Source organism: Homo sapiens, chromosome 10 (assembly GCF_000001405.40).
Source record: "Homo sapiens chromosome 10, GRCh38.p14 Primary Assembly".
NCBI lineage: Eukaryota > Metazoa > Chordata > Mammalia > Primates > Hominidae > Homo > Homo sapiens.
The window spans coordinates 17,943,003-17,958,296 of record NC_000010.11 but is presented as its reverse complement, the minus strand read 5'-3'; the positions used below and the strand labels follow the sequence as shown (position 1 = coordinate 17,958,296).

The following is a 15,294-nucleotide window of genomic DNA, read 5'->3' as shown; positions in this document are numbered from 1 at the left end:
CTCATGGGGCCATGAGACCAGGGCAGGGCTTGGTGTATGAGCACATGGCAGAACATGTGACCATATTTCAACCCATCTGAGATGCGGAGACTCCTGTCCATGCATCATTCTTCCTCAGTGTCTTTGCCATGTATCTTTCCAGGGTTGGAATTGGAATGCAAGGCACGGAACAGCAGAGAGCAGGGTCCGCACTATAATCGTGTGGGTAGGCATTCCACAACTGTGTATAAAAGGCATACAATATGGAAGGTACAATTGGTTTCTGGCTTTGGAAAGCTTGAAACAGCTGTAGAAGCATCTTCTTTTGTCGGAACAGAGATTTTGGTAACCTTGAATGAACACGTGTTGCATCACATTTGCTTTGATTTTTTGAGGCCTGCTAAATCAAAGCTTAATTGTGAATCAAATGACCACGGGCTGGAAACCTTCCTCCCTTTTATAATATTTGAATCGTAAAGAATTTATTTTAATACAGAAGGCTGTGGCTTGAGGAAAGAATACAGGTGGAAGCCTCAGAAAAGCTAACATAAAATAAGAATTCTTCCCCTGGACATAGATATGACAAAAAGCTCTACTGGGGCTGTTGGATGAGGACAGAGCTGGAATTTTCAGTTCGACGCCACTAGATTTGTTTTGTTGTTAATGTTTTTAGAAGTTGGCTCAGTTGTGTTTGGGAGAGGATATTTAGCAAAATGTCGCAAATACTGCCACCCCACAGGCATCAAGATCTGTCCAAGGCTGCTGCCTCTGGTGAAGCAATTCTTTGTTTAAGAAGAATGGACTCATTCAGGAATAATCCATTGATTTTCCTTTTAATCTTGTCAGGTGGGGGAAAAAGGTTTGGGGCGGGGGGAATCTCATAAATTCTGGGAATTAGTTTTAATGACTTTATAAGGAAATAAACTTTGGGAAAAGACTGATTAAAATGCAAGGAGAGGCTCCCCTTTCAAGCTAAACAGGCTACTCGGACACTTGGTAGTAATTGTCCACCACATCCTGGAGCCACATCACATGGTCTCACCCAGCCTTGAAATTCAGCTTTGCTTATGATCTATGCCAGGTGAGAGCCTCAGCTGACAAAAAACAACTTGGTAGCTGTCTTCTCCTACATCAGTAAGACAGCTGTCAGGCCTCCAGGATAAACTTTAGGGGTTTTAGACTGAAAGATGTTTAACATTTGATTTTAAACAATGGGAAATTTTATATTATAGAAACTTGAGAACTTAAAAGAAGACAGTCTCTTTTAAGTTCTCAGGTTTCTATAAGGTGTTTTTTTCTTTTCCGGAGGTGGGGGGTGGCTAACAATTGATTGTAAATATAAGAGAGAACGTGTATGTGTTTTTTTCCTGACAAAGAGCTGGAAGGATGTTGCCGATGGCAGGTACTGGCTCTTTAGGGTCTGTACTAGATTTAGTGGGTCTTCTGACTGACAAGAAGTTTTTAACTGAGAAGAGTTAAGATGAAATTGTTAGATAATAAGACAAAGCTGGGTGTTTTCCACACTTTATTCCATGACAGTTATGTCAGGGGCTAGGGCCAGGTGTGAATTAAATGGAGACCCTTAAAGCAGTGGTTCTCTGCTTTGAATGTGTCTAAGAATTGCCTGGAGAACTTCGTTTAAAATCCTCAGAATCAAGGACAGTGGAGGGGAGCCTGGGACACAGGTGGGTGGGAGATTCTGAGGAATGGCGCTGCTCTAGTGTCCCTGGAAAAGGAGGAATCAGACATTGCTGTGAGGCACAGGGAACAGAAGGAACTTGAGCTCCTATATCTGACTTTCTGCATATGTGTCCATGAGATCCTGAGAGATCTGATTCCTAAGGAGAACATGTATGTCCATGAGATCCTCAGAGATCTGATTCCTAAGGAGAACATGTATATCCATGAGATCCTCAGAGATCTGATTCCTAAGAAGTACATGTATGTCCATGAGATCCTCAGAGATCTGATTCCTAAGAACATGTATGTCCATGGGATCCCCACAGAGATCTCCCTGAGGAGCACATGTCCATGAGATCCACAGAGATCTTCCTGGGACATAATACATCTATGTCCACATGATTCTCAGAGATTTGATCCCTGAGGGCATATGTGTCCATGTGATCCTTGCAGAGATCTCCCCGGGGAGCACACATGTCCGTGTGATTTTCACAGATATCTCCCTCAGGGGCACATATATATCCATTTGACCCTCACAGACATCTGGCGCCTGAGGAACATGTGTTTGTCCATGTGGTCCTCACAGACCTCCCTGAGGAGGGGCTCATTATCCCAGCCTTCAGGGTGAGGAAGCTGAGGCTCCACATGTCTCAACACTAGAAGGTGCCAGAAAAGGGCCCTTTTCCTTTCAGAAACATGTGTAGGGTTATGGTTCTCATAATTATTGAAGTAGAATGTATTGTTTTGGAGTTATTTAATCTCTCACGATGTTCATTAAAACTATATTCTACCCCTTCTCATTAAAGAAAGAAAAAGCCAGGATCAGCCCAGAACTATTCATTTTCAAAGACTGCAGCTTGACTGAATTTATTTTAAATGTGCAATGCTCTCAGATACTTCACATTGGCTTTTTAAAAAATTCACTTTTTATACAGACGTAAAATTGGAAGCATTTTTACTCCCAACAAATTCAAGATACCTACTTCCCTCTTTTTTCAGACATTTAGGGATATGAAGAAACCCCCTTAACCTCTCTTTTTACGATAGAATTTGTAGCATGAACCCTGCCTGTCAGCAGACAAAGTCCCTCAGATGACAGAACAGACTCGGCCACAAGCTGAAGCTCTGTGGTTCGCGCCAGAACCCGCGTGTTTGTGAAATTCAGAGGACTCTGTTTCCTCCCTCTTTTCATGAATGATGGGAGACATTTCCTAAGCTCCTTCCTGATGGGTGATTGGGGTGAACTGAAGCCTTCTGAGTAGGTAAAGCTGAGACTCACTTCTGCTTCACCTGCCTTTCTTTCACAGAGAAGGAGGGTGAAGCTATTTAAGATGGTGTTTCAAGTCCTAGGAATGGAACTGATTCAAATGGGGACCAAATTGGCTAAACTCCTGATACTGTCACAGAAAACAGTAAGTGCTAAACAATCCTTCCCCCAGCCCTGAAAATGGAGAACAATTTTGCATATTTACCTTCCCCCCTGGCAAAACTACTATTCAACCAGCCTTAATAAGGCACTTCACGTCATTAAAGGAGAACATTCCCCTGAAGCGAATCCTCAGAGGACATGAATAAGAGATGACTTCTGGTTATTTCCAGTGGGACATCTTGTGTTGCCATCTATATATATTAATGTCATCACAGATGAGTTGCCTATTATAACACATTTCCTCTGGGAACCATTGGGTATTTTAATAATTATTGAATTATTTATTGCTCACACAAAGCAGAGAAAAATTCTCTATGAGCAAGAACTCTTCTGTTATGAAAAAACAAAACACTTGGTCAGAAAATGTTCCCCTCCCCTCCCTCCCTCGCCTCTGCATGATTGAGAAAGTCTGCCAAAATGTATTTTGGAGACGGTTGTTAGCTTTTGTTTTACTTATTTATGTATGCTTTCATTTATGTATTTATGGGTTCGTCCTAAAAAATCTCGTGGGTCAGGAATGGGATGGTGGAGTAGGTTTTATTTTTTCTTTTGTAGTCATTTAAACACATGAGTTCTCACCTCCTTCCATCCTACCCCACCCTCCCTAATGAATAAATTCTTAGACATCACTGACGTCATATTAAAGTGACCTGGAGGCCGGGCGCCGTGGCTCACACCTGTAATCCCAGCACTTTGGGAGGTGGCGGCAGGCAGATCACGAGGTCAGGAGTTTGAGACCAGCCTGGCCAACATGGTGAAACCCCATCTCTACTAAAGATACAAAAAAATTAGCCGGCCGTGGTGGTGGGTGCCTGTAATCCCAGCTACTTGGGAGGCTGAGGCAGGAGAATCACTTGCACCCACGAGGTGGAGGTTGCAGTGAACCAAGATTATGCCATTGCACTCCAGCCTGGGCAACAGGGCGAGACTCTGTCTCACAATAAATAAAATAAAATAAATAATAACCTGGAGAGACTTTTAAAAGTTCTATCCCAGGCAAGTAAAATCTCAGTCTCTAGAGGATGACACCTAAACATGGGTATGCTGGGAAACCTATGCAGCTGATTCCAATCAGGGTTGAGATTCGCTTTGTAGGCTAAGATCAGGCTGTGACTCAGGCCTCAGGAGCCATGGGTGCGACTTCAGCTCCACCTGCAGCATCTGTCTCCCCAGCTCAGATTCCTCATCGTTAAGATGATTATCCAATCATTAACTACCCGCCATGCATAATATTAGAAAATACCATGCCAGGAAAAAGTACTCAAAAACCCAATGTTGGGCAAATATCAGATCGCATTATGCTCCAGCAAACAAATAGCAACTAAAACTAGTCACGTGCAAGTGCACTGAAGGCTTTAAGAAAAGATTAGTCAATCAGAAAAGAGGACTAAAAGTTCGCGCTCACAAATAAATGCCTCTAAATATGCAGAAGGGTTCTAGAAAGCCTTACATAAACATCATCCTTTCAACAACAAAAATGTCCCTAGGTGCTATACATAGAATGCTGATTTGCTGTATCCCAAATATGGAAATTATTTTACCAGAATGCATTGCTCAATTGCATATTGGAAGATTTGCCTGTGATTTTGCTTTACTGAAATAAATCCCTATAGAATCCATTGCTTTCTTTTGGACATGCCCTGATACCTGACCCCATTCTATTTCACTAACCAGATTGCAATCTCCTTGCATTCCGTTTCTCCTCCGTGGGCACCCAGTTTTCTCCAACAATGTTTTGATGAGGCTTCTTGAGTGGTTGTGGGGTGGGTGGTCACCAGCAGAGAGAACCTGTAGCAGGTCTGCCGGTTGGCCTGAACTCCCACGGCTTCTGCTATCCTGGGCTGAGGGTTTGTCTGTCTCAGTAGAAAAAACACGGCTGAGTAGAAGAAACAATGGCACCCAGGATACTGAGAGCTTTGTCCGGAAGCACATTTCCACGCTTCCTCCACCTTGAGTCTGTCTTGGATGGAGGTGAGTGTGTTGCCGTTTATGGGGTAAACTTGTAACCAAAGGAATTTCTGTGGTAAAGGGGAAAAATAAAGCCTTCAATTATTGTGCCTGCAACATGTTTGAAAGGATTCATTAATTGGGTGGCTAAGCTGATTTGCAATGACAAGCTGTTTCTACACAGCGGGGGTCTGTAGGTAATTTCTAACCCCAAATGGCAGGAAAGCACCATGGCTGTAGACTTTCAAACTGCACAGCAGCCAAAAAGCTTGCTAGATTCTCTCTCCCTAAACTAAACATAGCGTCACGTAAGTTTCTCCATTTACCAACAGGTGGTACAAGTTATAGGACCCAGGTTGGGAAACACCTTATGTTTATCCCATTATAAAGAACTCCAAGTGATTCATGGTCCTCATGAAAAAGAGAAAATAAATTCTACTAAATGACCAACATCATGTTGAGTTTAAAAGTTTTAGGCCAGGCGCGGTAGCTCACACCAGTAATCCCAGCACTTTGGGAGGCTGAAGCAGGCAGATCACGAGGTCAGGAGTTTGAGACCAGCCTGGCCAATATGGTGACACCCCCGTCTCTACTGAAAATACAAAAATTAGCCAGGTATGGTGGCACGTGCCTGTAGTCCCAGTTACATGGGAGGCTGAGGCAGAAGAATTGCTTGAACCCGGGAGGCGGGGGTTGCAGTGAGCCAAGATCGTGCCACTGCACTCCAGCCTGGGCGACAGAACAAGACTCCATCTCAAAAAAAAAAAAAAGAAAAAAGAAAAAAGAAAAAAAAAGAGTTTTAGACAAGGAAAAGCACTAGAAGAAAATAGTAATGTTCAGAAAACACAGGTCTTTTTTTTAGTTTACTAAGAATCAAGATTCTAGAGCAGGAAGCATCTTAGAAAAACAGAATTTCGAGACCTCAAGAACATGACACACACACACACACACACTCACTCAGTGGTGACTAAAGGAGTGGGGGATGACTTTAGAGCCAATCAACTTCCTGGAAAAAAAAATTATCTTTCTGTTGATGGCTTAAGGCATGTAAAATGTTAACAGCATCTCATGTCCGATCCTGGCCCAGAGATGAGCTGGTAAATGACTGTGGGCTAGTAACAAAGGTACTGGGATTACTTTTATGAGTTAAAAACAACAACAACACTTTAAGGTTGTTATGTTAGCAATTTAAAAGTGACAGAGGATGATGCAAGCATTTCTAACCCCAGTGCTTACCTTCAGAAGAAAGATAAACGATTCTTTATCTGGAGCTCCACAGCCTTTTAAATCCTGGAGAGTATTTCACAGTTACAAAGTTCCCTGTTTTTAAAATTCTTTGACTGTGCACTGGGAGCTAGAGAGGATTATTTCAGCCCAGAAAAGTTTTCAGTTGCTATGGAGAGAGCTGCTCTGAAGGTAACAATGAAGGTGGATAAAAGGGAGAACTTTCTGTCTGGTAGATTTTCAAGGTAATCAAATCAGTGTGGTTCATGAATTTAACTTTTTAGATCAAGAATTAACCAATTTTCTTAGGCTCACCTACTGTCACTTGCCTTTCAAGGGACAGAATCTAGGTCAAAGGATTTCACCTCGCAGAATAGAAAGACTTCAGTGTTAGATGAAGATTTTTTCCTCTCCAGTTGATTCTGTAATAACTGTTTCATCCAGGCTCAAACCAAAGATTTGTTGAAAAGATAGGCTCTTTGGAACCATATTTGTTTTGCAAGATGCAGAAGCCTAAAAGATTGAAGTCTTTCGTAATGAGATGCTTTCAAATGAAAAGTATTGGTTGAAGGAATGAAATTCTTACCAGGGATGTAGGTAGCATAAATGAGGAACTTTAATCAGCTGCATATATTGTGATCACCAGCACCGGTGGTAGTTCTTACATCAGATCCTTCATGCTCCTCAAAACAAAACCTCTCAACAAATTATTAGTGAATAAATGACTAAAGGAACAAAGTGGTTCATTTTCTAGGAAGCAAGAGAAGTTAAATCCTAAGATTTCAGAGTGGGCAGAATGCATGCCCACAGTATAGGGGTTTAAGTCAGCTGGTGGGCAGGTAGAGGAAATTTGAGATCAGGATGATTAGCCTCATCACTAATTGTATATGAAACACGGGAACCCTGCGGTAGGATATTCCTGAGAGAATGCTAGTAATGAGAGATGACAACTTGCTAGCAGCCCTGGCTCGCTCTTGGCGCCTCCTCAGCCTCAGCTTCAGCTCTCTCCGTCTTCAAGGAGCCCTTCAGCCCGCCGCTGCGCTGTGGGGGACCCTCTCTGGGGCTGGCCGAGGCCGGAGCCGGCTCCCTCTGCTTGCCGGGAGGTGTGGAGGGAGAGGCGTGGGCGGGAACTGGGGCTTGATCAGAGGCTGAATCCCGTGCGTGGACCAGAACGTTGGCCACGATGGCGGGTCTCCATCTCTTTCTTGCTTCCCGTCTTTTGCTCTTGATTGTCTGGGACGAGCTCCCTCTAGGCTGCTGGAGTGCCCGGGCTAGGTGCTCCGGATAGGTGCCACAAAGTCCCGTGGCTAGTGCCAGTGAGAGGTGAAGCCAGCTGGGCTTCTGGGATGGTGGGGACTTGGAGAACTTTTCTGTCTAGCTAAAGGATTGTAAAAGCACCAATCAGCGCTCTGTGTCTAGCTAATCTGGTGGGGACTTGGAGAACGTTTGTGTCTAGCTAAAGGATTGTAAGCACACCAATCAGCACTCTGTGTGTAGCTAAAGGTTTGTAAACGCACCAATCAGCACTTTGTCAAAATGACCAATCAGCTCTCTGTAAAATGGACCAATCAGCAGGACGTGGGTGGGGCCAGATAAGGGAAGAAAAGCAGGCCACCCCAGCCAGCAGCGGCAACCAGCTCAGGTCCCTTTCTATGCTGTGGAAGCTTTGTTCTTTCACTCCTCGCAATAAATCTTGCTGCTGCTCACTCTTTGGGTCCATGCCACCTTTATGAGCTGTCACACTCACCGGGAAGGTCTGCAGCTTCACTCCTGAAGCCAGCAAGACCATGAACCCACCAGAAGGAACAAACAACTCCAGACGTGCTGCCTTTAAGAGCTATAACACTCACCGCGAAGGTCTGCAGCTTCACTCCTGAAGTCAGCGAGACCACGAACCCACCAGAAGGAAGAAACTCCGGACATATCTGAACATCTGAAGGAACAAACTGCAGACACACGATCTTTAAGAACTGTAACACTCACCGCAAGGGTCCATGGCTTCATTCTTGAAGTCAGTGAGACCAAGAACCCACCAATTCCGGACACAGTAACACGGATGGAAATACGAAAGGCAAATATTCCTAGAAAATTTCAGGCTTTTTTTTTTTTAGATGGAGTCTCACTCTGTCACCCAGGCATGAGTGCAGTGGCATGATCTTGGCTCACTGCAACCTCCACCACCTGGGTTCAAGTGATTCTCCTGCCTCAGCTTCCTGAATAGCTGGGATTACAGGCAAGTGCCAGCACACCTGGCTAATTTTTTTGTATTTTTAGTAGAGACAGGGTTTCGCCATTTAATGGTGGCTAGGCTGGTCTCGAACTCCTGACCTCAGGTGATCCACCCACCTAGGCCTCCCAAAGTGCTGGGATTACAAGCGTGAGCCACTGCACCCAGCCCAGGGTTCTCTGTAATAAGCCCTCAGGGAACAGTTGGGCTTAACTGTCAAGGAAAGGAACTTGGCTTGTGTCTTGTGAGCTCTGTGCTGAGATTAACTGAAGTTAGAGTCTAGAATCAGCAGTCAAAGAGGGCAGCAGGGAGTTGGGACTGAAAGTCACGCCCTTTAAGCTGAGAGTCCAGTGGAGGCAGAGAAGCAAGGAGGGAGCAGGCTCAGGACCAGAGGGGCACCCGATCACAGCTCCCTGTGAGCTCCTCTCAGTGCCAGCTCTCATCCCCGGGGACCACTTGAGCATCTTTTTTTTTTTTTTTTTTTTTGAGACAGAGTTTTGCTCTTGTTGCCCAGGCTGGAGTGCAATGTTGTGATCTTGGCTCACCGCAACCTCCACCTCCCAAGTTCAAGCAATTCACTTGCCTCAGCCTCCTGAGTATCTGGGATTACAGGCATGTGCCACCACAGCCAGCTAATTTGTTTGTGTTTTTAGTAGAGATGGGGTTTCTCCATGTTAGCCAGGCTGGTCTCAATTGAGCATCATTTATAAGCTGTGTCCCAGTCTCTAAGACTTGGTGATGAGATCACTAAGGAGAAATAGTCCAATCCCTATTCAGCAAGTTCTCTGGTCCCACTATCACCTACGTTAACTTGCCAAAAAAAATCACACAAATTTAGAAAATAGACTTTATTTCTTATAAATGGGTTACAGCCTGCTAGGCGGCCACTCTGATAGGCTGGGAATCACAGCCTTGGCCATCCAGCATTTGCAGGCACTTCACAGGAGGAGGCACTGGGGCAGGAGACTTACGCTCTGAACATGTTGGCAAAACATACATATTCAATAGGTTACAGGAGGTGCTATGAATATTCATTAAAGGTCATCCTGATGCATGTGTATTGAACATGCATCTAACACACAACCCATGTTCACCTTGAGGTGGAGACTTAAAGTTTAAATGTATTACAATTAGGTCCTATATGTCAAAAGGTGAAGGAGACACACAGAGGTATTCAGTATGTAGCTTCTGAAAACCGGCTAGAACCAGTCCATGGCCAGTGGTCTCCAATCAGGAGAAAGTTACTGAAATCAGTCTCTCGTCCAATCAAAGCTGTAGTTCTGGCTGGTAGAATGAGGTGTCAGTCAGTGCCTGCAGGCTGGATGAGTTGTAATTGTTTTCATATTGCTTACCTCAAGGCCAGCGCTTGTTTAGCTGCTAGAGAAAAATAAAAACCTAGTGGCAGTTAGAACTTAGCTTAGGGTATGGTACTTAACTCTTGTATGGTATGGTCTCAGGACCTGTTCATAATTTGGCATCTTATTGCCACAAAGAGTCCATTCCAGTCTTACAGTCTCTATTTTAATATGAATGCTGGTCAGTGGTTGTGTCTAAACTGCAAAAGAGAGGAGGTACGACAAGGCATATCTGACCTTCCATCAGTCATAGCCAGGAACTCAGTTTTTAAGGTTTCTCTTGGGTCCCCTTGGCCAAGAGGGGATCCATTCACTCAACTGGATGGCTTAGGATTTTTAGTTACACCTGATACTTCCAAGTACCTGTCATTTGCCCTTGTCCCTGCAATTACCCCCACTTCCTGGCCCATCTCCAATGAGCAGATAACCTGCCTTGTTGCTGCAGGACTGGATCCTGATTCACTTTGACCAGTGCACTCCTGGGAGAGTGGGGGCTTCTCCTCCTCAGCACCAAGCCTACCTCTTGTGGGGCCTTCTCTGGCAGTTGTACGAGGTCCCTCAACTATGCTCTACCTCTAGGCCTGGCTACTCCCCGTATCTCCCTTTATGATGTCATCTTCCCTCTTCTCAAAGGCACTAACCTTGCTAAATAATAATTACAATAATGCTTATTAACATTGATCATCTCTTATGTCTAGGCACTCTGCTAAGTAACATTGTATTTTCTCAGATAATAGCAATGAAACCTAGTGAACTTCTCATGGTACAATTCAGAAACGCCCAGGGTCGCACAGCTAGTAGGTGCCACCAGAAATCAAGGTCTCTCTGTGTCAATTTGTGCTTGTACTACTGGGCAACTACCTGTTGCAATGGGACCCCATATTTTTATCTGTAATCTAAGATTCTTTTTACACTGCTGTACGGATACACAAATGACTCAGACAAACACTCATCAAAAAGGGAAATAACCTACTACATTTTAATTTTTGCATTCTCTCCAAAGCCTCTTCAGCCCAAAGTCTCAGAAAAAATTAATTTAAAAAAATTGTAGAACTTTATTACTCTAGCTAGTGGTCCTTCTGTTAATCTTTTCAAAAAACAAGCTCCTGGATTTTTTTAAGGGTTTTCATGTCTCTATCTCCTTCAGTTGTGCTCTGATCTTAGTTATTTCTTGTCTTCTGCTAGCTTTTGAATTTGTTTGCACCTGCTTCTCTAGTTCTTTTAATTACGATGTTAGGATGTCAATTTTAGATCTTTCCAGCTTTCTGTTGTGGGCATTTAGTGCTATAAATTTCTCGCTTAACAGTCCTTTAGCCATGTCCCAGAGATTCTGGTACATTGTCTCTTGGTTCTTATTAGTTTCAAATAACTTCTTTATTTTTGCCTTAATTTTGTTATTTACCCAGTAGTCATTCAGGAGGAAGTTGTTTAATCTCCATGTAGTTGTGCAGTTTTGAGTGAGTTTCTTAATCCTGAGTTCTAATTTGATTGCACTGTGGTCTGAGAGACTGTTATGATTTCTGTTCTTTTGCATTTGCTGAAGAATGTTTTACTTCCAATTATGTGGTCGATTTTAGAATACATGCCATATGGCACTGAGAAGAATGTATATTCTGTTGATTTGGGGTGGAGAGTTCTGTAGATGTCTATTAGGTCCACTTGGTCCAGAGCTGAGTTCAAGTCCTGAATATCCTTGTTAATTTTCTGTCATGTTGATCTGTCTAATATTGACAGTGGGGTGTTAAAGTCTCCCACTATTATTGTGTGGGAGTCTACGTCTCTTTGTAGGTCTCTAAGAACTTGTTTTATGAATCTGGGTGCTCCTATATTGGGTGCATATATATTTGGGATAGTTAGCTCTTCTTGTTGCATTGATCCCTTTACCTTTATGTAATGCCCTTCTTTGTCTTTTCTGATCTTTATTGGTTTAAAGTCTGTTTTATCAAAGACTAGGATTATAAACCCCTGCTCTTTTTGCTTTCCATTTTCTGGTAAATATTACTCCATCCCTGTATTTTGAGCCTATGTGTGTCTTTGCACGTGAGATGGGTCTCCTGAATACAGCACACCGATGGGTCTTGACTCTTCATCCAAAGAAGAAAAGAGAGAAGAATCAAATAGACACAATAAAAAATGATAAAGAGGATATCACCACTGATCCCACAGAAATACACACTACCATCAGAGAATACTATAAACACCTCTATGCAAATAAACTAGAAAATCTAGAAGAAATGAATAAATTCCTGGACACATACACCCTCCCAAGACTAAACCAGGAAGGTGTCGAATCACTGAATAGACTGATAACAAGTTCTGAAATTGAGGCAGTAATTAATAGCCTACCAACCAAAAAAAGCCCAAGACCAGACAGATTCACAGCCAAATTCTACCAGAGGTACAAAGAGGAGCTGGTACCATTCCTTCTGAAACTATTCCAAACAATAGAAAAAGAGGGACTCCTCCCTAACTCATTTTATGAGGCCAGCATCATTCTGATACCAAAACCTGGCAGAGACACAGCAAAAAAAGAAAATTTCAGGCCACTATCCTTGAGGAACATCAATGCAAAAATCCTCAATAAAATACTGGCCAACTGAATCCAGCAGCACATCAAAAAGCTTATCCACCATGATCAAGGCAGTTTTATCCCTAGGATGCAAGGCTGGTTCAACATACACAAATCAATAAACATAATCCATTACATAAACAGAACAAATGACAAAAAAACACATGATTATCTCAACAGATCCAGAAAAGGCCTTCAATAAAATTCAACATCCCTTCATGCTAAAAACTCTCAATAAACTAGGTATTGAAGGAACATATTTCAAAATAATAAGAGCTATTTATGACAAGCCCATAGCCAATATCATACTAAATGGGCAAAAACTGGAAGCATTCCCTTTGAAACCAGCAGAAGACAAGGATCCCCTCTCTGACCACTCCTATTCAACACAGTATTGGAATTTCTGGCAAGGGCAATCAGGCAAGAGAAAGAAATAAAGGATATTCAAATAGGAAGAGAGGAAGTCAAGTTGTCTCTGTCTGCAGATGACATGATTGTATATTTAGAAAACTCCATAATCTCAGTCCAAAAACTCCTTAAGCTGATAAGCAACTTCAGCAAAGTCTCAGAATACAAAATCAATTGCAAAAATCACAAGCATTCCTATACACCAATAACAGACTAACAGCCAAATCATGAGTGAACTCCTATTCACAATTGCTACAAAGAAAATGACTAAGAATACAACTTACAAGGGACATGAAGGGCCTCTTAAAAGAGAACCACAAACCACTGCTCAAGGAAAGAAGAGAGGACACAAATGGAAAAACATTCCATGCTAATGGATAGGAAGAATCAATGTCATGAAAATGGCCATGCTGCCTGCAGTAATTTATAGATTCAATGCTATCCCCATCAAGCTGCCACTGATTTTCTTTGCAGAATTAGAAAAAACTACTTTAAATTTCATGTGGAACCAAAAAACAGCCTGTATAGCCAAGACAATCCTAAGCAAAAAGAACAAAGCTGGAGGCATCAGGCTACCTGACTTCAAACTATACCACAAGGCTACAGTAACCAAAACAGCATTGTACTGGTACCAAAACGGATATATAGGCCAATGCAACAGAACAAGACCTCAGAAACAACACCACACATCTACAAGCATCAGATCTTTGACAAACCTGACAAAAACAAGCAATGGGGAAAGGATTTCCTATTTAATAAATGGTACTGGGAAAACTGGCTAGCCATATGCAGAAAACTGACACTGGACTTACTACTTCTTTAAACTTTTTTTCTGAATAGATGCAGAATATTCAACTGAAAAGGCATCTCCTAGATGTGGAACTAGTCTTATATATCTTCTGTCTCTGTGATCCTTTCAAAATAATATTTTCATTAATTAAAAAATGTCAGTCCTGAATGTACCCCTTGGTCTTTGATTTGGAAGCTGATAGTATATATGATTACACAAAAACTATAAATTTTATGTGCAACTGTCAAAAAATATTTTTATTATAAAAGTCCTATAAGATCACTAATAAAAGACTGTAGAAAATATCTAAGAGTTTAAAAAAAGGCAGTCTCTCCAGAGGTAACTGATATTATCTGTTATCATTTGGTTTCTCTCTCTTTGGTCTCTTGGCATATTTGGATTATATGTGTAATTTTGCAGTTTATTGTTTTTACTTTTTACAATATTATGTCATTCTCATTAAATATGGAATTTTTTTTTTTTTTTTTTTTGCTTTGAGACGGAGTTTCGCTCTTGTTGCCCAGGCTGTAGTGTAATGGCAAAATCTCAGCTCACTGCAACCTCTGCCTCCCAGGTTCAAGAGATTCTCCTGCCTCAGCCTCTCAAGTAGCTGGGATTACAGGTGCCCGCCACCATACCTGGCTAATTTTTTGTATTTTTAGTAGAGGCAAGGTTTCACCATGTTGGCCAGGCTGATCTCCAATTCCTGACCTTAGATGATCCACAGGCCTCAGCCTCCCAAAGTGCCAGGATTACAGGCTTGAGCCACCATGCCTGACCTTGGATCTGTTTTATTAATCATTGCAAAAGTTCACCTTTCAGAGAAGGAAAAGGAAAGGAGGGGTCTGGGCCTTGAGGATCATCCAACTCACCCTGCGAGCCCCTGGCTACCTATCCTTGGAGTTTTGGTTGAATGAAACCAATAAACTCCTATCCCCAAGAGATTGTTTTTATCAAGTTTTCTGTTGATTTGAGCCAAAGGCAAACACTCACAGAGCTTGAGACAATGATATGTCTTGTCATCTTGTTTCTTAAAGTGACACTTTCAGGCATAAAAGAGGCTGGTGGAAATGGAGAATTGGTATCAAGAGGCCTGGTGGGTGTGGGCACTTCATTTCATAGCTATTCTGAGTCACTCTGAGTGAATCACTGTGCACACAGGTGTATTCATTATCTATTTCTGCATGGAAAATCAACACAAACTTAATCACTTACAACGAGTGGATTATTTCATAATTTCTGTGGGTTAGAAGTCCAGGCACAGCTCAGCTGGGTCCCTTGCTTCTGGGTCTGTCAGAAGACTGCAATCCAGGTGTCAGCTAGGGCTGATGTTTCTTCTGAAGGCTCAACTGGGGAAGGATCCCCTTTCATGCTCATGTGATTGTTGACAATCTAATGTAATCTAATCACAGAATGACATCCTATATTTTACTGGTCAGAAGTGAATTGCAGGCCCCGCCCACACTTAAGGGGAGGAGACACCATATAGGCATGAATACCAGGAGGTGGGGATCACTGGGTGCCATAAGGCATCGAGGGTAGGGGTAGAAAATTATGAGTCAATTTGACAATTTACATTCCAAAGCCTGTGTTTGTCACCTGTACTCTCTTCAGGGGAGGTAGGTGGAACTTCTAATGACATTTTCTTTATCTCCTAACTCACTCTCTAACCGTGTCTTTAAGTCC

General features: G+C 42.6%; 1 protein-coding gene across 4 annotated transcripts in view; it reads right to left on the bottom strand.

The window, feature by feature from the left end:
- SLC39A12 (solute carrier family 39 member 12) overlaps positions 1-6,379 on the bottom strand; it is a 91,368-nt gene extending 84,989 nt beyond the window's left edge. For 3 of the 4 annotated variants that reach the window (NM_001145195.2, NM_001282733.2, NM_152725.4), the window contains exons 1-2: positions 6,272-6,379; positions 4,760-5,106 (exon numbers count right to left, since the gene is read on the bottom strand). In NM_001145195.2, coding sequence (NP_001138667.1) covers positions 4,760-5,020 — 261 coding nt within the window. In that variant the 5' untranslated portion in view covers positions 5,021-5,106; positions 6,272-6,379. The remainder of the gene's footprint in view (positions 1-4,759; positions 5,107-6,271) is intronic. The other variant, NM_001282734.2, reaches the window with a different exon arrangement.
- Positions 6,380-15,294: the final 8,915 nt, after the last annotated feature.